Source organism: Homo sapiens, chromosome 20 (genome assembly GCF_000001405.40).
Source record: "Homo sapiens chromosome 20, GRCh38.p14 Primary Assembly".
Lineage (NCBI taxonomy): Eukaryota > Metazoa > Chordata > Mammalia > Primates > Hominidae > Homo > Homo sapiens.
Window position 1 is genome coordinate 30,278,679 of NC_000020.11, and position 24,470 is coordinate 30,303,148.

At 50.8% G+C, this 24,470-nt stretch overlaps 3 long non-coding RNA genes across 3 annotated transcripts, besides 1 other annotated feature; all 3 read right to left on the minus strand.

The window, feature by feature from the left end:
• Positions 1–227: 227 nt before the first annotated feature.
• Positions 228–7,859, minus strand: LINC01597 (long intergenic non-protein coding RNA 1597). Its single transcript, NR_145432.2, has 2 exons — positions 7,762–7,859; positions 228–3,457 (listed from the first exon to the last, which is right to left on the minus strand). It is a non-coding gene; the product is annotated as a long intergenic non-protein coding RNA 1597 (long non-coding RNA).
• A 490-nt stretch (positions 7,860–8,349) lies between these two features.
• Positions 8,350–11,290, minus strand: LOC107985433 (putative uncharacterized protein LOC401522). Its single transcript, NR_171672.1, has 3 exons — positions 11,077–11,290; positions 9,593–9,707; positions 8,350–8,794 (listed from the first exon to the last, which is right to left on the minus strand). It is a non-coding gene; the product is annotated as a putative uncharacterized protein LOC401522 (long non-coding RNA).
• Positions 11,955–12,155: a silencer, noted in NCBI's record as "fragment chr20:29525309-29525509 (GRCh37/hg19 assembly coordinates)". NCBI's record gives its function as "represses an EF-1alpha promoter that drives an FKBP-Casp9 reporter gene in an ReSE screen in HepG2 liver carcinoma cells and phorbol 12-myristate 13-acetate-treated (for megakaryocytic differentiation) K562 erythroleukemia cells {active_cell/tissue: HepG2 | K562(+PMA)}" and the evidence as "EXISTENCE:reporter gene assay evidence [ECO:0000049][PMID:32094911]".
• On the minus strand, positions 13,634–19,204 carry LOC105372586 (uncharacterized). The gene is made up of 4 exons (XR_007067753.1): positions 19,119–19,204; positions 17,887–18,015; positions 16,477–16,586; positions 13,634–13,958 (listed from the first exon to the last, which is right to left on the minus strand). It is a non-coding gene; the product is annotated as an uncharacterized LOC105372586 (long non-coding RNA).
• Between the last annotated feature and the right edge of the window lie 5,266 nt (positions 19,205–24,470).

Here is a 24,470-nt window from a genome sequence, read left to right on the forward strand (position 1 = left end):
GCTGATGCAATACAAGGGTTTAACTTTGTATGATAAAACTACACATCACAAAGCATTTTTACAGATACCTTGTTTCTAGCTTTTATCACAATATATTCTGTTTTTCACTACAGGCCTCAATTTGCTCTGAAATGTCCTGTCGTATATTCTACAATAAGAATGTTTCCAACCTGCTGAATAAAAAGAAAGATTTAACTCTATAAGTTGAAATCACACATCTCAAAGCATTTTCAGAGACAGCTTCTTTATAGTGTTTATTAGGATTTTAGGTTTTTCACTACAAGCCTCAATCAATGGGCTTTGAAATATCTCCTCATCAATTGTACAAAAAGAGAGTTTCCAACCTACTAAATCAAAACAAAGGTTTAACATTGTGAGACAAATCCACAAATTGCAAAGCATTTTTACAGATAACTTGTTTCTAGTTTTTATCACGGGATATTTGATTTTTCACTATAGGCCTCAGGGGGCTAAGAAAAGTCCCCTCTTTGATTCTACAAAATGAATGTTTCCAAACTGCTAAGTTTCCAACCTGCTGAATCAAAACTAACATTCAACTCCATTAGATGAATCCACACATCTCAAAGCATTTTCACAGATAGCTAGTTTCTAGTTTTCATCGTGGGATATTCAGTTTTTTACTACAGGCCTCATTGGGTTTGAAATGTACCCTTGCAGATTCTAGAAAAATAGTGTTTCCAAAGCGCTAAGTCAAAATAAAGGTTAAACTCTGTGAGATGAAACCACACATTGCAAAAGATTTTTACAGATAGCTTGTTCTAGTTTTTATCATGGCATATGTGGTTTTTCACTATAGGCCTCAATGAGCTCCAAAATGTCCCTTCTTTTATTCTACAAAAAGAATGTTTCCAACCTGCCCAATCAAAACAAGGTTTAACTCTGTGAGATGATTCTACACATTGCAAAACATTTTCTCACATACCTTGTTTCTAGTTTTTATCCTGGGATATTTGGTTTTTAGTATAGGCCTCTATGGGCTCCAAAATATCCCTTCATAGATATTACAAAAAGAGTATTTTCAACCTTCTGAACCAAAACAAGGGTTTAACTTTGCGAGATGAATCCACATATCTCAAAGCATTTTCACAGATAATTTGTTGTCAGTTTTTATCAGGGATATTCATTTCTTTATAATAGGCCTCAAGGACTCAGAAATTTCTTATTTTAAATTCTACTAAAAGAGTGTTTCCAACCTGCTGTATATAAACATAGGTATAACTCTATGAGATAAATCCACACATCACAAACATTTTCACAGATAGCTTGTTTCTAGCTTTTATCACAAGATATTCAGTTTTCACTATAGGCCTCTGTGGGCTCTGAAATGTTCCTTTGTAGATTCCACAAAAAAGTGTTTGAAACCTGCAGAATAAAAACAAAAGTCTAACTCTGTGAGATGAATCCACACATCACAGAGCATTTTCACTAATAATTTCTTGCTAGTTTCTATGGTGGGATATTTAGTTTCTCAATATACTCATCCATGGGCTTCAAAATATCCCTTCATTGATTCTTAAAAAAGAGTGTTTCCAAACTGCTAAGTCAAAACAAATGTTTAACTCTGAGGGATAACCCACGCATCACAAAGCATTTTCACAGATAGTCACTGGAACGCTGGCCTTTCTGGAAAAGCCACCTTTTTGGTACCCCTCCCCTCATGGCCGTGGCAGTGGCACAGTGCTGTATCCTGCCTGGGCTTTGGCCTCTGCTTTGTCCTGCCTCTTGCTCTGTCTCCCCTGTTTCTGAGGGGCCTAGATGCCTCTCGCTCTCGCTGAATGTCTTCAACAATGATCACAACCCAGTCCGTCAGGTAGACACTTACTGGAGATCCCTGTCGTGATCGTTTATCTCTTTCAACCTGTTTCTGCTTGATGGGGCAGGATAGACGACCCTGGAGCTCTTGGCTTCCATACTTCTCTCAGACAGGGAAGCTTCCTTCCTCTCCGTGTTTCACCTCATGGGTGGGTGGATTGCCTGGAATGAGCGCTAGTCGACCGTGACAGACCTTGTCTTCTAGGACAGGTGGTGTCGCATTTCCTCTGCACTTCATGTCTCATTCGTGAGAGACATCCTCTCCTCTGCTCCTGGGTGGACTGAGTCTCTGGATCTTTTGACCATAACGAATGTCGGGGAAAGGAACCAAAGGGACTGGGCTGGGGCTGGGGCTGGGTCTGCGGCTGGTTGCAGGGGAGGTTGGGTCAGGGCTACCTGGGCCATGGAGGGTTGGGGGTGGGGTGAATTTTGCCAAAACCTCTTTAATCCTCTGGCAGGCATTTCAAAATGTGGCTTGGACTAAGGCACAGGCACCCTCCTCGTTCCCAGGTGTTCTTTGATTTTCCTTGGCATTGATGGAAAGGTCACTCATTCCCCCCTTCGACCGGGCACATTCCTGGACACCATTGTTGGTTTCGCCATCACAATGTATGCCTCCGGTGACACACATTCACACCATCTGCTGTGGGATACACCAGTGCCACGCGTGGTCACATGGTCTCCATCTCGGATTCACCCCTGATCCTCTTTCTACCAGTCCCATAAAGCGCGGTCGGCTTTCCGGAGCCCCAGGGCTTTTAGAAGCGGGGCAGGCCACTGCTCTTTCAAAGGAGGAAGGAAGCAGAGGGCTGATGGATCAGTGAAAGTGCAGCTGACACTAGGCCTTGAGACTTATGGGATTATTCTGTGCTGCAGCGAGGCCCTACGGCCTCACCAGATGTAGTGAGCCCATCCTATCTCATTCAGCAGGCCAAAATGGATCTGAAGGGGAGTCCTGAGAACACAGCAAGCCTCCTGAAGCTCCCGCTCCATCGGTGGAAGTCGGCTCAAGGAGGTCCTGAGGACAGGACTCCTGGGGCTTTTGCCCTGGGACAATATACCCGGGGCCCCTCTCCCACGCTGCCTCAAATTGGACCCCGGATGCAGCCGACTCCGCGGCTGCAGCAGGAGCCTCGCTGCCACCCCGCAGCGCTGCCATTATTTAAAGGGGACGCAGCCTGACTGCCAGGAGCGGAGCGCGAGTCCGCCCAGCCAATGCTCCTGGGCGAGGCGCGAGTGGCTTTTCCCATCACAGTGGTTCCACGGTTGTCTTAGAAACCAGTCCCCGAGGCTTAGAAAAGCAGGAGCCCTCCGCGGCAGTCCATGGGTGTCAGGGTTCTGAGGCTCCGGCCTGACCTCTCCACGGGGTCGACGGGAACGTCTCCAGATGCCAGGAGTCGCAAAGCGCCAAACAGGATGAGGAAACCCCAGGCGGAGTCCGGGAAAAGCAGCACAGCATCCCAGCCTCAGGCCTGCCCGGACCGTGTTGGTTGGGTTGACTCTCCCCAAAAGTCGTGCCGCCATCCGTGATCTCTAAGACAGGTCGGCCTGCGTGCCCCTGGGCTGCTCTCTCATCCGAGGGTCGTTCTCGTCGAGAGTAGAATCCCGCAGTCTCAGGGGTTACCTGGGGGTGTGTATTTCAATACTTCTGCTGGATGACTCTGTGTGTGAGTCTGTGTGTGTATGTGTGTGTGTGAGCCTGTGTGTGTCTGTGTGTGTGTCTCCCATTCTCTCTTCTCTCTCTGTCTCTCAGTCTCTGTGTGTTTCTTTCCCACTCTCTGTGGGTTTGTGTGTGTGTGCCCTTGTGCGTGTGTGTCTTTGGCTGAATGTGCCCTGTGCACCACACAGCGGTTTCTCGCATGGCGGCCTGTCTTTGTTGAGCCTCTTTCTGCGTCTCTGCCTGGGTCATGAGGCCGGTTGTCAATCATTTTCGCCCCCGCAGATCTGCTTTGGGTGGGTGAAAGCCTGGCCCACGTGAGGAGATGCTTCGGTCCCGGAGCAATTGAAGTCTCATCCCCATCCTGAGTGGCCTCTTTTCTAGGATCAAGATGAACCCACTGCAGACGAGGACAAGAGCCCCAACAGGAGCTCTTTGTCCCACAGGAGAGCAGCGGACCCACGTCAGAGAAGATGCTTGTGTCTTTTCATGGCTCTTCTCTGAGAAATGAAGCCACACCACGATACAGTCAGCAAGAGGAAGCCAGGAATGAGAGATGGCAACAATCCCTGTCCCTGGAACGCTGGCCTCCCTGCACAAGCCACCCTTTAGGAACCCCACCCCTTATGCCTGTGACGGTGGCAAGGTGCTGTATCCTGCCTGGGCTCCGGCCTCTGCTCTGTCCTCCCTCTTGCTCTGCCTCCCCTGTTTCTCAGGGGCCTGGATGCCTCTCGCTCTGGCCAAATGCCTTCAACAAAGATGACTTCCCACTCCGTCAGGGAGACACTTCCTGGAGACCCGTGTCGTGATTGTTTCTCTTTCAAAAAGTATTTCCGCTTGATTGGGTAGGTCTAATGACCCGGGAGCTCTTGGCTTCCATAGGTGTCTCAGGCAGGGAAGCTTCCTTCTTCTCCACATTTCCCCTCATGGGTGGGTGGATTGCCTAGAATGAGCTCTAGGCGACCGTGACTGGCCTTGTCTTCCACGACAGGTGGTGTCGCATTTCCTCTGCACTTCCTGTCTCATTCTTGAGGGACATCCTCTCCTCTGCTCCTGGGTGGACTGACTCCCTTGATCTTCTGGCCAAAACGAATGTCAGGGAACCAAAGGGACTGGGCTAGGGCTGGGGGCTGGGACTGGGGCTGGGGCTGGGTGCAGCCGATGTTGCGTCAGGGCTACCGGGTTGGTGGAGGATTGGGGTTGTTGCGAATTTTGCAGAAACCTCTTTGCTCCTCCGGTAGGCATTTGAAAACGTGGCTTGGCTCAGGCACAGGCAGCACCCCGACCCACGGGGTCACAGGTGTTCTTTGATTTTCCTTGGCATTGATGGAAAGGTCACCTGTTTCCCCCTTCCACCTGCACATGCCTGGACAGCACCCTTTGTTTCGCCATCGCCCTGTATGCCTCCGGTGACACACATTAACACCAACTGCTGTGGGATAGGCCAGTGCCACGCGTGGTCACATGGTCTCCACCTAGGATTCGCCTCTGTTCCTCTTTGCAGTTGACCTGTAAAGCGCGGTCGGCTTTCCGGATCCCCAGGGCTTTTAGAAGCGGGGCAGGCCACTGCTCTTTCAAAGGAGGAGGGAGGCAGAGGGCTGATGGATCAGTGAATTTGCAGCTGACACCAGGCCTTGAGACCTACGGGATCATTCTGTGCTACAGCGAGGCCCTGTCTGCCTCACCAGATGTGGTGAGCCCATCCTATCTCACTGGGAGGGGGCCAAAATCGGATCTCAACGGGAGTCCGGAGAACACAGCAGGCGTCCTGAAGCTCCCCCTCCCTCAGTGGAAGTCGGCTCAAGGAGGTCCTGAGGACAGGACTCCTGGGGGTTTGGGCCTGGGACAGGACGAGACACCCGCGGCCCCCTCTCCCACGCCACCCCAAACAGGACCCAGGATCCAGCCGCCGCCGCGGCGGCAGCAGGAGCATCGCGGCCGCCGCGCGGCAGTGGCGATATTTAAAGGGGACGCAGCCTATCTCTCAGGAGTGGAGCGCAAATCGTCTCACCCAATGCGCATGCGCGAGGCGCGAGCGGCTTCTCCCGTCACAGTGGTTCCCACGGTTGTCTTAGAAACCAGTCTCCGAGGCTTGGCGAAGCAGGAGCCCTCCCTGGCGTGCTTGGGTTTCGGGGATCTGAGGCTCCGGCCTAACAACTTCACGGGGTCGACGGGAATGTCTCCAGATGCCAGGAGTCGCAAAGGGCCGACCACCATGAGGAAAGCCCAGCGGAGACGGGGGAAGCAGCACAGGAACCCAGCCTCAGGCCTGCCCGGATGGTGTTGGTTGGGGTGAGTCTCCCCAGAATTCGTGCCTCGGTCCGTGATCTCTAGGACAGTTCGGCCTGCATGCCCCTGGGCTGCTCTCTCGCCCGAGGGTCGTTCTCATCGAGAGCAGAACCCCATAGCCTCAGGGATTGCCTGGAGGTGTGTTTTTCAATGCCCTCCTCCTTTGAAAGAGCAGTGGCCTGCCCCACTTCTAAAAGCCCTGGGGCTCCGGTAAGCCGACAGGGCTTTACAGGACACCTGCAAAGAGGAACAGGAGCAAACCCGAGGCAGAGACCATGTGACTACGCGTGGCCCTGGCCTATCCCACAGCAGTTGGTGTTAACGTGTGTCACCGGAGGCATACGGGGCGACGGCGAAACAAAGGGTGTTGTCCAGGCGTGTGCCGGTGGAAGGGGAAAACAGGTGACATTTCCATCAATGCCAAGGAAAATCGAAAACACCTGGGACCCGAGGGGTGTGGGGGGGGCCTGTGACTGACCCAAGCCACGTTTTCGAATGCCTACCGGAGGAGCAAAGAGGTTTCTGCAAAATTCGCCCCAACCCCAACCCTCCAAGGCCCTGGCAGCCCTGACGCAACTTCGGCTGCACAGAGCCCCAGCCCCAGCCCCCAGCCCTAGACCAGTCCCTTTGTTTCCCTTACATTCGTTTCGGCCAGAAGATCAAGGGGTTCAGTCCACCCAGGAGCAGAGGAGAGGATGTCCCTCAAGAATGAGACAGGAAGTGCAGAGGAAATGCGACACCACCTGTCGTGGAAGACAAGGCCAGTCACGGTCGCCTAGCGCTCATTCTAGGTAATCCACCCACCCATGAGGGGAAACGTGGAGAAGACACCTGCCTGAGACACCTATGGAAGCCAAGTGTTCCCGGGCCATGAGACCTGCCCAATCAAGCAGAAACACATTTGGAGAGACAAACAATCACGACACGGGTCTCCAGGAAGTGTCTCCCTGACGGAGTGGGAAGTCATCTTAGTTGAAGGCATTTGGCCAGAGCGAGAGGCATCCAGGTCCCTGAGAAACAGGGGAGGCAGAGCAAGAGGGAGGACAGAGCAGAGGCCGGAGCCCAGGCAGGATACAGCACCTTGCCACCGTCACAGGCATAAGGGGTGGGGTTCCTAAAGGGTGGCTTGTGCAGGGAGGCCAGCGTTCCAGGGACAGGGATTGTTGCCATCTCTCATTCCTGGCTTCCTCTTGCTGACTGTATCGTGGTGTGGCTTCATTTCTCAGAGAAGAGCCGCGAAAAGACTCAAACATCTTCTCTGACGTGGGTCCGCTGATCTCCTGTGGGACAAAGAGCTCCTGTGGGGCTCTTGTCCTCATCTGCAGTGTGTTCCTCTTGATGCTAGAAAAGAGGACGCTCAGGATGGGGACGAGACAGCAATTGCTCCAAGACCGACGCATCTTCTCACGTGGGCCAGGCTTTCACGCAGCCAAAGCAGATCCGCGGGGGCGAAAACGATTGACAACCGGCCTCATGACCCAGGCAGAGACACAGAAAGAGGTTCAACAAAGACAGGCCGCCATGCAAGAGACAGCTCTGTGGTTCACAGGGCATATTCAGCCAAAGACACACAAGCACACGGGCACACACACACAAACCCACAGAGAGTGGGAAAGAAACACACAGAGACTGAGAGACAGAGAGAGAAGGGAGAATGGGAGACACACACACACACAAACAAAGGGTCATACAGCAGAGGCATTGAAACACACACCACCAGGCAACCCCTGAGGCTGCGGGGTTCTGCTGTCAACCAGAACGACCCTCGGGTGAAAGAGCAGCCCAGGGGCACGCAGGCCAACCGGTCCTCGAGATCACGGACGGCGGCACGACATTTGGGGAGACTCACTCCAACCAACACCGTCCGGGCAGGCCTGAGGCTGGGAGCCCCTGCTGCTTCCCCCGTCTCCGCCTGGGGGAGCCCACCACCTACCCACCCTCCATTCACCTCCCCTCCTTAAGGCTCACTAAGCTCTATTTACCTTTTGTAACTCCATCCCTCCGTAAGTACACAACTCTCCTAGCTGGTTTCCTAGAGGGCAGATACAGTGTTTCCAGTTGGCCCTCTGCAGATATCTATGAACAAGTCTCTCCCAGCCCCTACATATAAATATGTGTGTTCTAGACAGACGGGCCTAAGTCCCAATGTAAACACATCACAAGATAATTACACCTTATATGCATACAGATCTCTCTATAGAGTTATATTTGAAAGTGTCTATAACTCTAGAGAGAGATTGCAGCATGCACATATAGGACTGTAATTACTTATATGTATTTTTATAACTATGTAGTTATAAATAGATATGCCTATATATAGTGATAATAATATAGCAATATCTCCATAGCCATATATGGCTCTAAATGAATGCTCTAACTACTCTATTTCACAATCAATAAGTATATATCTTCTGATACATAATTCTAACAATATACGTTTTTATCTATATAGCTGTTCAGAGATATAAATCTGTCAGGATATCAAATGTACATAAAGCTGGATGGCTGTAAGAGAGTCGTATATTTTCCCATATATAAATCTGCTCCTATAACTACTGTATATGCACAAATACAATGGAAATAGTTATATTTCCCTCAAACATAAATCTGTAAATACAACCACAGCACATTTAGGTACGGTTAGACATAGAGCAATATTTCCTAGATATCAGTCTGTCAATAGAGCCACAGTGTCTCCAAACAGAGAGTTATAGAGGGAGTTATAAATAAACTCTCCAGATGTGAACGGATCAGTAGAACTAGATGTAAACATGACTCCAAGCCGTTCTTTCTTCTTCTTCTTCTTTGTAAGATATTCCTGAAGCAAGCCCAGTCATATAACAGGGTGCAAAGGTGTCTGGGTACTGGTATTTTTCCCCCCAAGGAGGGTCGGAAGTCGCTGGACTTTGGGAAACTGAGCAGGAGTGGGTAGGGGACAGTGCCCGCTCCCAACGCAATCCAGAAGCCCCTTCCGTCTGTCTCCTGGTGGCTGAGAGCTCGGGCAAGTGGAGAGGCCTAAGGGAGAAAAATGAAAAAGCAGAGTCTGGCTTGAGTCGTTTGGCCCTTCTGCCTAAAACCCTCTCAACAGGGAAGCCCCGACCAGGCGTCGGAGCGGAGAGAGCCCACGAGGCACAGAGGTTGGGAGAAAGGGTCTGCAGGCCGGGCTTCGGAGGCCTAGCGGAGTCGCCAGCCGGTGCCTGACCGCCCGGCGCCCCATCGCCCAGGGCCGCTGCCTCGCCGCAGGCCTGAACACAAAACCTGGGCCCTAGCCCTGCGCCCTGTGCTCAGCACTTCCACTGGTCTTATTTTATTGCTGTTTGTCCAATTAGGTATCGCAGCGTCCTCCACCAGGTGTTGTTTTCAAATGTGAGGGCACCCAGAGCTTTCTGAATGCGTGTCTGTGTGTGTGTGTGTGTGTGTGTGTGTGTGTGTGTGTGTGTGTGTGTGTGCTGGCTTTAAATAAGTGACTCAGTGGATAGTGTATTTCTCTTTTCAGACCAAATGTGTCACTGGCTACTGGAAAAGAATCCAGACCTCTGAAAGGGTTCGTGACAAATTTTTTAGAAGTTCTCACGCTCATTTGTTACGATGATTTTCTTTTCTTTTTTCTCTTTTAAAAAAGTTGGCTAATTTGTGCTTCTATATTCCTCTTTAATTTTATTTTTATTGGGGGTACAAATGTTTTTAAAGGAGGGATTTTGTTAGACCCGAAACTGTGGGGTGGCTTCCTCTCTAGCAAACTTATTATCTCTACGCCTGTGATTCCCATCACCGCCAAGAAAACAAACTAATTAAACGACCAGAAAACTGTACCTGGAGAAAATGAGGTAGAAGTTGCAGGATCCGGGACCGCGGTCTTTGCTTGCTTCATGAAAAATCGGCTAGTCTCCAAACTCGCGAAGGAATATTCAAGGTGCCTCAACTCCTCCTTTTAAATTTTTTAATAAAGAGCCTAGACAGGGAACTTTCCCTGGGCCTGCCAGAGCCCCAGCCTCGCTCTCCCAACTTCCCAGCGGCCATAAGTGTTTTTCTGCTTCCGTTCGGGCCCCCCGTCTTCCCGGGCATCTCTGAGCTCCTGCCGGATCAAGGCTGTGGTCATCACCTCATTCATCTCTGCCGCTTGGCCTGAGCCTGCACATTTGGCCTCATTCTTAAAACAGAGGCTCCTGGAGAGTCCCAAAAGCCACTAACCATTCCCATATGTGGGATCCCTTCTCTGATCACACAAAGCAGAAGCCTGAGAAAAAAAGCAATAAAGAGTGGTCTCTGGCTCTCCTTCCCCTCTTCCGTCCCTTGTCTGGGAAAGGGGTTCCCAACCCCAGCCCCACCAAGAGCATATTAAGATTTCTTCCTCCCTTCCTTTCCTATCTCCCCCTCAGATGCTGTGATCCTGACTCCTTCTGTCTCCACCTCAAAATATTTCCTCTTGCATTTTATTGTTATTCTGTTATGGAGGGACTGTTAACTACTGTTTTATTATTATTATTCATTATTTATTGTTATTATGATTGTTGTTAGAGATTTGTTCACCACTGTTCAGGGGACAGCAGCCTGGCCCAGGGGGAAGCCTGCCTCTCCCTCTCTGTCTCTCTCTCTTTCTCACACGCACATACACACACACACACCCTAACACAGTGCACACTCATGCATATATGCTCACAAATGCCTGCTGTGTTCAGGCCCCTGCACAGCAATCCGAAGAGGCAGGCATCCTACCGCAGCACTCAAACAACACACTGCCCACGCACACCAGCATTCAGGCAGAACACCACCCCCAGACCAACGCCAAAACCCACACGCACCGAGCTTGCAAGGAAAGGAAAATACATAAAGAATCCCTTCTCTCCACAACCTGGAGGGGCGAGTCAGGCCTCTGTCTCTTCCCCCCAGTCGCTTTCGCTTTCTCTTTTTTTTTTTCTCCTTGTTTACAGCTTCAGAGAGCTCAAGGCACATAAATCTTGAGGGTTCTACAGAGCGCAGAGCACATTTGTATGCATCGTTAGGACTCGCTAATACCTAAGCCCATTAAGGAGCGTGTATGCGCGTGGTTTCCGGTGTGTATTAACTTATAGTTAAATTCTGGAGGAAAGGGCATTGTGAATTAACATATACCAAATCCATCATGGGCTTTTGTCATATCAGATTAGTCAGTCATGGGTTTGGGGGAGCAACTTGCCTGGGTTGGTGTGTACCCACCCTTCAAACTTTGTGGAGCAGGCCCAGGGGTCTTGGGAAACACGAAGGCATTCCTATCCAGCCCCAGTCATTCGGATCCCCCAGGCCTAGCGGCCGCACACCTGCGAGATGGCGGAGGGACTGCAGACCCGGGTGCGGGAGGCCAGCGCCGGCGAAGAGAGGCGGGGGAGGGAGGCCCCTCCAGCGTCCTGCTGGGGTTGAGTTGGGGCGGCTCGTCCCATGGCCGCTGGGTCGTCTGGTTTCCGCTTTCCGAAAGAAATGAGAGGAGAGGCAAGTGGAGACGCTGAACTTTAATTTAACCATAGAGAAGACAGTGGGGGGAGGGGGAAAAAAGATCGGAGAAGGAGGAGGAGGCGGCCGAGAGATCGAGGAAAGGAAGTCCTGGCGGCTCGGGGGAACTTGGAGATCTCTCCAAGGGGCTGAAAGCTGGAAGTTGTATGAAGATGTTCCTTTCCCACATCCCAGCTACTCCGCCCCAGTCGAAGAGACTAATTCCGGCCCTCTTATAAAAATAAGAAAGAAAAGGTAAAGAAAAAGAAAATCTAATTATGTGGCATGTTTCAGCCAGGTGTTCCTGGTTCCAATGACTCAGACCCTATTGGAGCCCCGGGGATCTGGATAATTGGGCATGCATAGACAGTGATGAAGGATGCCATTTCTAAAAGGAGGAAGGGGAGAGGAAAGTCCATCTCTTGGGGTCTTGTAGAAAATGCCAAAGACCAAACAAGCTAAATTATTGTGTCCGTGTAGATCTATTTCCCTATTTACATACAGCAGGCTGTGGGGGTGGGGGATGAGGGAAGTCCAGGAATAAACGACCAGGCTGGAGCTGGCTGGCAGGAGAGAAAATGCGCCCCCTGGCCCTTTGCAGGAACAGCCAAGGGGCCTCCTCAGCTCGCAGCTCAGGCGGCCTTGCGGCGGACTGGTCCGGGGCCGGGGGCGGGGCCGGCCTGGGGGAGGGGAGGCGGGGGCGGGAGGGGAGGCGGAGGCGACTCTCCCCGGGCGCTATGAACTTTAGCTGGGCCGCCGCCTGTCAGCCCCAGAAAGCGTTAAAGGTGCAGCAGCCCGCGCCAGCCTCCTCAGCCGCCTTTGTATGCGTGATTTATGACTTCAATCTTGGTTCACCAAGAGTTCACACGGCTTTCGCTGCTGTTGAAGGTTAAAAGATGGTCTTCCCTTGACAAGTGGGACTATTGAAAATTCCTTCTTCTTCTTTTTTTTTTTTTTTGCCAAAAAAATTATTCACTGTTTATCTGAAATTCACATTTGACTGAGGGTCCTATGTTTGACCTGACAACTCTACTCTTTTTGTTTGTTTGTTTGTTTTTGTTTTTTGTTTGTTTATTTTATTGATCATTCTTGGGTGTTTCTCGCAGAGGGGGATTTGGCAGGGTCATAGGACAATAGTGGAGGGAAGGTCAGCAGATAAACAAGTGAACAAAGGTCTCTGGTTTTCCTAGGCAGAGGACCCTGCGGCCTTCCGCAGTGTTTGTGTCCCTGGGTACTTGAGATTAAGGAGTGGTGATGACTCTTAACGAGCATGTTGCCTTCAAGCATCCGTTTAACAAAGCACATCTTGCACCACCCTTAATCCATTTAACCCTGAGTGGACACAGCACATGTTTCAGAGAGCACAAGGTTGGGGGTAAGGTCATAGATCAACAGGATCCCAAGGCAGAAGAATTTTTCTTAGTACAGAACAAAATGAAAAGTTTCCCATGTCTACTTCTTTCTACACAGACACAGCAACCATCCGATTTCTCAATCTTTTCCCCACCTTTCCCCCTTTTCTATTCCACAAAACTGCCATTGTCATCATGGCCCGTTCTCAATGAGCTTCTGGGTACACTTCCCAGACGGGGTGGTGGCCGGGCAGAGGGGCTCCTCACTTCCCAGTAGGGGCGGCCGGGCAGAGGCGCCCCTCACCTCCCAGATGGGGCGGCTGGCCGGGCGGGGGCTGACCCCCCCCACCTCCCTCCCGGACCAGGCTGGCCGGGCGGTGGCCGACCCCCACCTCCCTCCCGGATGGGGCGGCTGGCCGGGCGGGGGCTGACCCCCCACCTCCCTCCCGGACCGGGCGGCTGGCCGGGCGGTGGCCGACCCCCACCTCCCTCCCGGATGGGGTGGCTGGCCTGGCGGGGGCTGACCCCCACCTCCCTCCCGGACGGGGTGCCGGGCGGAGACGCTCCTCACGTCCCAGACAGGGCGGCTGCCGGGCGGAGGGGCTCCTCACTTCTCAGATGGGGCAGCTGCCGGGCGGAGGGTCTCCTCACTTCTCAGACAGGGCGGCCAGGCAGAGATGCTCCTCACCTCCCAGATGGGGTCGCGGCCGGGCAGAGGCGCTCCTCACATCCCAGACGGGGCAGCGGGGCAGAGGCGCTCCCCATATCTCAGACGATGGGCGGCCGGGCAGAGACACTCCTCACTTCCTAGATGGGATGGTGGCCGGGAAGAGGCGCTCCTCACTTCCTAGATGGGATGACGGCCGAGCAGAGATGCTCCTCACTTTCCAGACTGGGCAGCCAGGCAGAGGGACTCCTCACATCCCAGACGATGGGCGGCCAGGCAGAGACGCTCCTCACTTCCCAGACGGGGTGGCGGCCAGGCAGAGGCTGCAATCTTGGCACTTTGGGAGGCCAAGGCAGGCGGCTGGGAGGTGGAGGTTGTAGCGAGCCGAGATCACGCCACTGCACTCCAGCCTGGGCACCATTGAGCACTGAGTGAACCAGACTCCGTCTGCAATCCCGGCACCTCGGGAGGCCAAGGCTGGCGGATCACTCGCGGTTAGGAGCTGGAGACCAGCCTGGCCAACACAGCGAAACACCGTCTCCACCAAAAAAATACGAAAACCAGTCAGGCATGGCAGCGCTCGCCTGCAATCGCAGGCACTCGGCAGGCTGAGGCAGGAGAATCAGGCAGGGAGGTTGCAGTGAGCCGAGATGGCAGCAGTATAGTCCAGCTTTGGCTCGGCATCAGAGGGAGACTGTGGAAAGAGAGGGAGAGGGAGACCGTGGGGAGAGGGAGAGGGAGGGGGAGGGGGAGAGGGAGGGGGAGGGGGAGAGGGAGAGGGAGCCTTCTTTTTTTTTATTTTAGAAGCGAAGAGCAGAGGCTCAGGTGAGGAAAAAATTGGGGGGTGGGTGTGCGGGGGACAGGGGTTGCAGGTGGGCCAAAATGGTAGGTCAGGAAGGTTTGTCTTCCTATATTTAGGATTTTTTGTTGCTAGGATTTGCGTGCATGTTGGAGAGAGGTTAGAGAATAAGAGGGAGATAGGCAAGAGATGTAAAGATCTCTCATATTTAGAGGCCAAAGGAGTGAAAAAAAAATCGTGCTTCCACAGTTAATTATCTGGGTAACTTGGGTCACACCCCCTAACTGATCCTCCTCTAGAGACCAGAAATGGGCCAGGTAAGGGGCAGAGTTGGGCAAAGGGTAAGGTTTGTGTGCTTCTCACTGGGTGTACTTGATCATCCACCTTACCTGGGTAACTACTTTTTTTTTTTTTTTTTTTTTTTTTTGGAAATGTGGTCCAGCTCTGTTTCCCAGGCTGGACTGTTGTGGCACCATCATAGTTTACTGAAGCCTCAAACTCCTGGGCTCAAGTAGTCCTCCCACCTTAGCCTCTTAAGTATGTGAGACTGCAGGCATGTGCCACACCGCCAGGCTGGGTAGCTGCTTTTCAATATGCTTCTGCACCCACAGATTTGGAAAAGGGCATTTTTAGACAGCAGTCTTTCAACTCTCTTCATCCTGTAGGTTTAGCCTGCCATTTACATTTGATGCACATGAAAAGGCTAATGGGAAGGAAATCTATAGAATTGTAATTGGAAGACCTTTCAAATCCCAAATTCCCTTGGTCTAAGAGCCAGTCTCTCTTCTTTCTAGCATTTTGACAAAGGTCGTGCCACAGCAGAGGTGGTGGTCAAAGATCTCCTAAAGACCAGGATCTAAGGCCCCTTTGTGATCTAAGGCTCTGAGTACTTGGAGAGACAAAACTCACTCCTTCTTTGTAGATTCAGAGAGACAGAGAGAGAGAGAGAGAGAGAGAGCGAACGAGAGAGAGAGAGAATGAGGAGATACCTTGAAGCTGAGGGTCTGCTTGGCTCTTCGAGGTTTCTTTTAAGATATGTTTTTAAAAAAATTTCTGGAGTGGGAATTGGGATTGTGTGCACTGGGAAGGGGAACAGCAGAGAGCTGGGTCGGGAGTTGGGTGTGCCTCCCTAGCCCTATTTAGGCCCCATCTCCATTATCAATACTAGGTAAATGTCTTAAGAGATAGAGCCAGCCCCTCAAATCCAGATCTGGGAACCAAAGGCATCCACGCTAGAAGGGGCACTCCCTGCTTCTCTTTCTACATAGCGTTAGAGAGGTATTTTCCCACCATGTGAGGACTTAGATAAGAGAAGGAGAAGAGCCAGAAAGATGTCCACATCTCGCCGGGACACCTAGCACCAGGCCCTCCTACAGGGGACCTCGTATGTAAATAGCAGAATGGGGAGCAGAGAACAGAGAGACGCCAGAAATCCAGAGTCCAGGCTCTGAGGTCACTTTGGTAGGAATGGTCCTCTGGCCTTATGAAGAACAGAGGGGCAATATGGCACTGTTTAGAAGCTCAGGGGGTGGTAGCTGTTAGGAGGAATCAGCCAAGGAAGCTAATGAATCTCTTCCGGGTTCTGGTTGGGAAGCAGAGGAATGAACTTAACGGCCTCTGGAAGTAATGTCTGTACTGAAGTCCCCTTCTTACCCTTTCTGACTGTGTTCCTCCCTGGGAAATAATTCCAGTAGGCTTGTGCTTATCTGCAAGTCTGGGGTAATTATGAATTATTAATTCATCATTAAGACTTGATTGTGACCGTTGCTCTCCAGTGGACCCATTTATCTCCTTCTTTGTGAGGCAGAGGGGAGCCTCTGTTAGCCCTTGGCTTCTGTAACAGGCAAACTGAGGCCAGCCCCTCTTGAAGGCAGTCCTTGAACTCTGCCCTAGGTGGGATGGTTGCCTCATTACCAGTCAAGTAATGTTGCACCTCAGAGTATTTGTGCAATACAGCCACTTCCCACAAACTTCGGATTTCAAAGTGCTTTGTAGGCTCCTGGAGAGATAGAGTAGCGGATTGGGAGTGAGACTCCAACAGGGGAAGAAACTTGGCCAAGCTGTGTGTGGAGACAGGAATTAAGGTGAGGTGGGAGGACTCCCAGGCACAGTATCTAAGCAATCTGGGATCAGGAATGGTCATTTTGTCTTCCTTACCCTAAGGAGATGCTAGTTTCCCTCAACTCTCTGGGGACCCCTGAACACACATCTGGACCCTTTTCCTGATCTCTCTTTCCCCCACCAGCCTCTCAATCGAGAAGCACAGGTTTCAAGTCATATCATCCCCTCTGATGGTTAGGGGTGGGAAAGTCAGATCTGCCGGTTGTTTCACATCTGTGAGAGGCCTGGAGAGGGAGAAAATTGCTCCTATCCCATGAGGTAATGCCCATCTAAATCCCTGCTGTAAACTCACCTCCCCCAGCACTGAAACAATTCTCTTCATCCTTTTTTTCCCCTCTTCTTCCCTCTGGAACCACAGACAGGGAGACTGAGGGTAGGAGATGCAGCTCCCAACAGCTGTACCTAGAGGAAGAGACAGCAGTAGGAAATGAGGGGAGAGTGGCTTAAACCTGTTATTTCCCACAAGGTTTATCTCCATTCTTCAAACCCAGGTCAACACCCTAAAACCAGAGCCATGGGAAGCCCTCTCTCCTTGTTCCCCCAACTCTCTCTCTCTCACAGAAAAGGAGCCCTGTGTCCCTCCCTGAGGCCAAGGGGCTTCTCTAAAAACTGCTCTAAGAACACTACCACTTTCTACAGGACACCTGAAGTCCCAACCCCCATGTATCTCTCAGTGCCTGTCTGGTCCAGAGGGAGCCAGTGGCTCTTGCCAACACATTACCATTTTGTGCCCCACGATGGGGGTGGTCCATGGAGTCATCTCAGCTTTCAGCCCAGACCTCACTCACTCTTTCTCCAAGCCATGCCAACATTCCTTGGTCTCTCCAAAGCCAGGAGGCAGGTAGGAAGCCCATCCAGAGGGTCCCCTGGAACTGGCTAATATAGTTTAATTTACTGTTTGGTGGTAAATCAAGAGAACTTGGGAAAAAAGGGAAGGAGCAACTGTGCCTAGCATCTTTCTCAGCCACCCCTCCCCTGGACATTGGCTTTCTCCATGAAACAGTGCACTGTTGTTCTTGGACAACCATTCCCCACCATCTTCGTTGGAAGGGCTTGAGTTTCACCCTCCGTTCACCCCCATTAATCACCCCAGCAGCTAAACATCACCCAGCCCCCTCTGGCCCTTTCTCTTCTTGCCCTTAGTATTCATGGCGGAGCATTCCTCACTGCTGCACGCTCACAAAGACCCCTCCTCTGACACGAGGTCCCTCCCACTCCCCAACCACCCAGTCCACGATGGGCACTGCTCACTGTTCTGGATGTTCCAACTGCCGGCGCCCACTCCTGGACCCCGTTCCCCCACTCCCCAGCTATCTCCATAGCGACTGCCCCCTTCCCATGCACTTGTTGGCTTACCACACCCTCCTTCAGGTAACTCCTCTTAACCCCACAAACCCTCTTCAGTCTTTCCCAGCCACCATTCTGCCCTCCATGCCCTATGCATGTGTAGCCCTTGTCTGCTTCTCTATACTTCTCCTTGCTTCTCTCGTCTTTCCTTCCCCAAGACATTCCGTAGGCACTTCATATGGTGGACCTGAAGCCCTTCCCTTCTGACCTTGAGAAAGTGAGAGGCAGTGTACCACAGGGGTTAAAAGCATGGGTTTGTGATTCAAGTCCCTGATCTGACACTTGCTAGTTGTACAAACTTGGGCAAATTACTTAACCTCTCTGAGCCATCCATAAAATAGACATACCCACTGACCTTATAGAGTTGTTCTGTAGATCAGATTAAATTTTATTTGCATAGATCCAAGCATTCAGCAGGGGCTCGATAAGTGGTAGTTATTGTGTTACAAGCTTCTTGTGAAGAAAGAGAGATGTTCTTCAGGTTCTAAAAAGTGAAGGAATTGCCTCATCCAGCACCAGAGAGGGAGGGATAAAAATTACACAGTCTTGCAGATAAGCAGGGCCCATTTACCAGGCAGTGATACTCTTCTATTAGCTCTAGAGGGTCTCAACTTTCGCTGCACATTGGAACCCCCAGCGAGTTTTTTTGTTTGTTCATTTTTGTTTTTGAGATGGTGTCTTGCTCTTGTCGCCCAGGCTAGAGTGCGGTGGCACATCTCGGCTCACTACAACCTCTGCCTCCTGGGTTCAAGCAATTATCCCTGCCTCAGCCTCCCGAGTAGCTGGGATTACAGGTGCTTGCCACCATGCCCAGCTAATTTTTGTATTTTTAATAGAGACGGGGTTTCACCATGTTTGCCAGGCTGGTCTCGAACTCCTCACCTCAGGTAATCTGCCCACCTTGGCCTCCCAACGTGCTGGGATTACAGGTGTGAGCCACCATGCCCGGCCACAAGCTTTTTAAAATACTGATGCCTGGGTCCCACCTCCAGAGATTCCAATTTGGTTGGCCTGTAGTAGGGCCTGGGCATCTGGATTTTTAAAACTCCCCAGGTTGATAATGTGTAGCCAGAGGTTGAGTTGCAGGCCCTAGGAAATGATACAAGAGATAAGGGGAGGGCTGACACTTCTGCCAGAGCAAGGGAGGGGAGGGATACTCAGCTGAGAGCTGCTTCTCAACCTTGGACATCCCCTCACCAGTGGCACTGCTTCAGTCGGGGAGGTTTTCACTTAGAATTAGCTTCTCTTGAGATCCCAGAATTTCAGAGACTCTCACCTTTTTCATTTCCTATAGCTATTAGAATTTACAAAGGGGCCACCCAAAGAGGAGACAGAGGAATTGACAAATTGACCTCTAAGAGGCTCATCTCTTATCAGAAAAGCATATGGTCCCCAGACCACCAGTGATAGAAGCAGAGGCAGATACCTCCAGTAGTGGGAAAATTTGTAATTACATAGTAAATGGAGTTTCTACCTGGTTGCTACAATAATAGGCCAAGCAATTAGGATACAAGTTTCCAGGACCTTTTCCTATATTTCCAAAAAGATAAATCACCCCTAGGAACAGAATCTGCATATTGTAATTACCTGATAAATATTTCATGCCTGGTTCAAACTTTCTCCTCTTCTATTTAATGGCCACAAACTTGAGCCCAGAGGAAACAGGAGTGAGGAGAGTGGGGGTTGGCTGTAGGGGGGAGGTTCTACCTTGGCTTCAGGGAGGGAGAAACTGTCTTAGTTAATTATTTACTGTCCTCCTGTTCTTTTAAGAAAACATTGCTCACCTGGAGAAAATCATGTCCCAGGTGGTAAAGGGTGTGACTTGGGCTTGTTGGCCTCAGCCCTGACCTCCCCCAGGAGAGGCCAGGTTTTGGTGACCCTGGGGGTGCTGGGAACTGCAGGCTTTGGAGTCAAGGGCCCAGTGTTTGAACAAGAGCTCTGTTCTGTCACTTATTAACTGGATGGCTTTAGGTAATTTACCTAATCTATGTGAAACTCAGTTTCTTCATCTGTAAAACAGACATAATTTTTACCTTGTAGGGTGGCCAATGCTCAGTTGGATCTCAATGCATGATAACTATTATTATCAACAGTAACAATGAATAATTAATAGCCCATTGGATTGTACCCTTTCCCTTCCTCAACCTTGCTCCAGTGTGTAGGGCACCTAAACTACTGAATGCTTACTGCGAGTATGGTGAATGCCTTAGCTCAATTACACAACATAATTCTTTGAAGGGAATATCTTATCATCCCTACTTATCTGTGTTTTGCAAATGAGGGAACAGGGCATGTAGAAGTTAAATACCCTGCCAGGTGTCACACAACTAAGTGGTTAAGAGCACAGGCTCTGCAGTCTGACTGTGTAGTTTCAAATTTGGGCTCTGCCACTTAATAATAGACTCTCCTTGACTTACGATGAGGCTGTGTCCCGATAAAGCTGTAGTAAGTTGAAAATATTGTAAGGTGGATATGCATTTCATACACCTAACCCACCAAACATCATAGTTCAGCCTCGCTTACCTTAAAGTGTTCAGGACACTTTCATCAGCCTACAGTTGGGCAAGATCATCTAGCACAAAGCCTATTTTATAATAAAGTGTTGAATATCTCATGTATTCAACATGAGATATTTATTCATCTCATGTATTCAACATGAGATTCAACATGTTATAATATACTGTACTGAAAGTGAAAAACAGAGTGGTTGTATGAGTATTAGAAGTACAGTATCTAATGAATGCATATCACTTCCACATCATCATAAAGCTGAGAAATTGTAAGTCAAAGCATCATAAGTCAAGGACCGTCTGTAATCACTGCAGGATGGAACATAAACTGCTTAACCTCGCTAAGCCTCAGTTTCTTCATCTGTAAATTGGGGATATGAATGGTACCTACCTGAAAGGTAGTTGTGAGAATTAAGTGAGAAATGCGTGTATAGTGCCTGTCTCAGTACTGGCATGTGGTAAGTGCCTAGTAAATGTGAGTTGTCAGTACCATCATCATACTACCCAGCAACTCAGGGCCATGGCGTCTCCTGCTCTTTGGTGGTGTTTGGGAGATGAGTGAGTGTGAGGGTCCTCCAAAGGTCACAGAGCTGCTCTTTTAACTCCCCCTGACAGACACACACACTTCAGTATCTAGGACTCGGGAAAAAGGACACTAAGCAGATTATGACTCCATTTCGGGAATTAAATCAAAACTCAAGACTATCTCAATTTGGCTTCTGACGAGAGGGAAAGGTTAAAAGGGAGTGAGGAGGCGGTTGAGTGTGCGTCCAGAATTGCAATTGGTTCTGGATCCCACCTCCCAGCTCCTCCACAGGGCCAGGCCCAAGGAGTATCCCCCCCGGGGGTGGAGGAGTGAAGGAGCCTTAGAACCTGTGTTATCTGAATGTGGGTGAGGTGGGGAGAACATGGTCAAGGAGTTGGGAAATTATCCAGAAACATTTTCCAAAGGGAGATCTTCCCGCATACCACCTCAGCCTGGCTCTGGATTGCAGGGGAACCCCAGAACGGATGGGGTCTGGGGGCTTAAGACAGGTAGGTGGCCTCAGTAGAGGGGAGAAAAAGTCCTGCTGGAGACAGTCGCCTCCCTGGAGAAGGACCTGGGCTAGTGTTCTCTTTAAAGACGTCTAAGCAGTCCTGGTATGCTAAAAACATTATGTGTATGTGTATAAACATATATTCTGTGTGTGAGTAGCCACTCAGCTCTTACTTGGCTTCGCACATTTGGCCCAGATTATTCTGAGCATTGTAAACTAAAAGTGAAATTCGGTTTCTACTTAAGAGAGAGCGTGATTTTCCCCAGTATTATCTCCTGTGCCCCCAACACTCCACCAGGCTTTAAAGGCCATTATACAGAAGGGAGAACTGAGACTCAGGAGATTGATGGTTTGTTCAGAATCGCAGAAGCAGCGTGGATCCAAGAAGGGATCTGCTCCCAAACAGAAACCAGTGTCTTGGGAGAGAGAGAGCAGAGGAAGCCCGCACCTCTGCCCTAACCTGAGGCTTTGAGCCTCCCGCAAAGCCGAGTGAGTTGAGAGCGCCTGGAAGGCAGACGCTGCGGAGGGAGGGACTCCCGGGCTCGCCAAACAGCGGGGCCTCGGGCAAGAGCGTCGCTGGCGCGTCCTCATTCTGCGATTGCTGTCAGGGGACCATCCATCAGCGCCGCCCTGGACGCTGGGCCAGACTGCCCGCCGCCCGCCCCGCCCGGGTCTCTCCAGATCGCATTAGCGTGGGGCGAGGGCTCAGTGCGGCACCGGCTGCTGAGGGAGAGGCGTGGCGGGGAGGAGGGTGGTGCGGGGGGACGAGGACATCGCTGTGGGGACACTGCAGGGGCAGGGGAGAGGCTGCTTTAGGACCCTCCTCCTTTTCTTCCAATCTCCCGCCTCTGGGATCTAAGGTGGATGAAAGGGGCACTAGAATGGGAGACTTTTGGGGGGCAGGGGGCGCAGAACACTGAAGGCATCAGGGAAGAGTAGTGATGGGGGCAGTTACCAGAAGCAGAGAGGAAGAAATACCTGTAAAGGGGAAAGCCAGATAAATTGTCTGGGGAGGGGAGAGACTGAAAATGGGGGTGCAGAGATTGGGGGTTAGTGGAAGAAAAAGACTTAAAGGGAAAGGAAAAGAGAAGCTGTAGAGGGAAAGAGAATTGGCAAGGAATTGACGAGAGAGCAGGGAAACAGGAAACCACAGATCGTCAGGGGCCGACAAAACCTTAGAGACAATCTACTGCAGCCCCTCATTCTACAAATGAACAAATGGAGGCCCAGAGAGGGGAATCCCTTCTCCAAAGACCCACTCCACCTGCTGGCTGGGCAGGCTCTTGACCACAGGCTCATTCATTCAACCCATGTGTTTTGAGCATCTGCTGTGTGCTGGGCACTGGACTGCCTGGATGATGCAGGATCAGCTCCTGCCCTCCAGAAGCTACAGTCTTTCCTCAGGGGCTTGGAGAGGCTGAGCATCCAGGAAGCTCCCTCACCCCCAGCCAGGAGGGACTCCCTGAGCCCCACCTCTCCTGGCCACTGAACCTTCCTTTCCCTCTGCTGTTCTGCTTATCTCCTCATGGAGGATGGCCGTTCCCTGGAAGATCTTCCCTCTCCACTTTCCTGGGGACTCCCCAGGTGTGGAGACAGGTACTTGACAGTTTGGCCAACTTGTTCTATCTCCCACAGCCAACAGGGTAGGCCTAAAAGCAAAGTCCATATTCCTTGCTGGGGTTCTCCTCTGGGCATGGACAAATCCCACAGGTTGCACTGAGATCCAATCGAGCTGTGGTAAGGAGGATTGAGGCTGGACATGAAGAAGTACTTCCAGGTCCCACAGTCTGGGACCATTTTCTTGCTGGGGCTTTAAAGTAGCTGTCCTTCTGTGAGCACAGTGTTGTCACCATCTTCCAGGGAAGGACTTGTCTTCCTCAGTCTCCAGTTAGCCTTGTGCGAGGCATTATGCTGGGAATGTTGGGGTTCCAGATACCTGGTCTCTGACCATGGGGTTTCTGCTCTAGACATGGGTGAACTGACATCTCCCTGGCATCCTCCCAGTCACTGCCAGCTCTGCAACATCATGGAACCCCTGAGTCCTTCACAACTCCCAGATCATCTCATCCTTCCTCCTTGCTCTGGGAAGACCATGTCTGAGTAGTTCCAACCAACCTCTCACCTTAAACCCAGTCCCTGACAACCAGAAGTGCCTCCTTAGTCTGGACTTGACCTTCCTTGCTGTCATGGTCCATCAGCAATGACCAGGGCTGAAGCAGCACGTTTTTTCTACAAACACCCCTCCCTCCCAGTGATGCTCACCCAATCCCCGGTGGTCAGGCAGGGAGTGGGGACAGCTTCCTGCCAAGAGCTCTGGAAGGCAGCTCTGCCTCCTCTGCCTGAAGCAAGCTCCTGTATACTCTGAGATGGTGGTGTTCATTTTAAAGAAGGGACCATCTTTCCTCCACAGTCCAGCTTACATTTGGAGGGAGACAAATGTGAGTTTCCAATCCCAGAATCTTTGCCACTGTACCAATCTCCATGGATGCATGGGATTCAGGAAAGGAGAGAAATGAGCAGAGCGAGGACACGAATAGAATCCGTTTCCTACCCCTTGTTCCAGCCCAACTCCCAGGGAAAGGCCAACAGAGGGCAAGAGAGGTGGACACTGAAAATTCCAGACTAAAGACCAACAGACAGATTTCAGCATTATTCCTTCTTGTAGGCAAAGTGGTGCCTAAGGATCTAACCAAATGAAAAAGCCTGGGAAATAGGCTATTTCTGCACCCCCTGACCATTCATGCAGAGCAGGATATCGGCTTCAGCCCAGAAGCAATGCTAGAAGTTGAGAGGTTTGGAGTAGACTGTGAAGCAGTTCCTCCAAGTGCATGCCAGATGAGGGGGTTGGAGCACCCAGCCCAGAACAGCATCCAAGGAAGGAGGCCTTGGCGTAACTCTCTGTGTCTCTGTGTTAACTTCACATACATTGTCTTGTGTGATCCTTACTGCCAGGTTCAGCACCAGGCACAGAATACATGCTTGCTGTACAAATGCATAAGTGAAGAGCCATGGGAGGAAGGTCAGGATCCTCAATTTTAGATGAAGAAACAGACACACAGAAAAGTTAAATGACTTGCTCAAGGTCACATATCTCATCAGAGACAGGGCCAAGTTTCAGTGGAGAGCCACTTTAGTGGTAGAGGGTGGTAGGGAGGAGGGAGGCAGGAAGGGAGAGAATGAACCATCAGACACCACACCAGGGGGAGAGGAGAGCTGTCATCTCTTTCTCTTTGTGAAAATATATTACTTCCTGGAAAAGATGGCATTTAAGACCACACAGTTTTAAAAATAACCCATTGAAGGTTGATTTGTAGCATATGCAAAGTTCTGCCAAAAACATGGAGAGGTCAATGAGTAGATGGGGTCATTGAGGATCAGAAAAGAAAGACAAC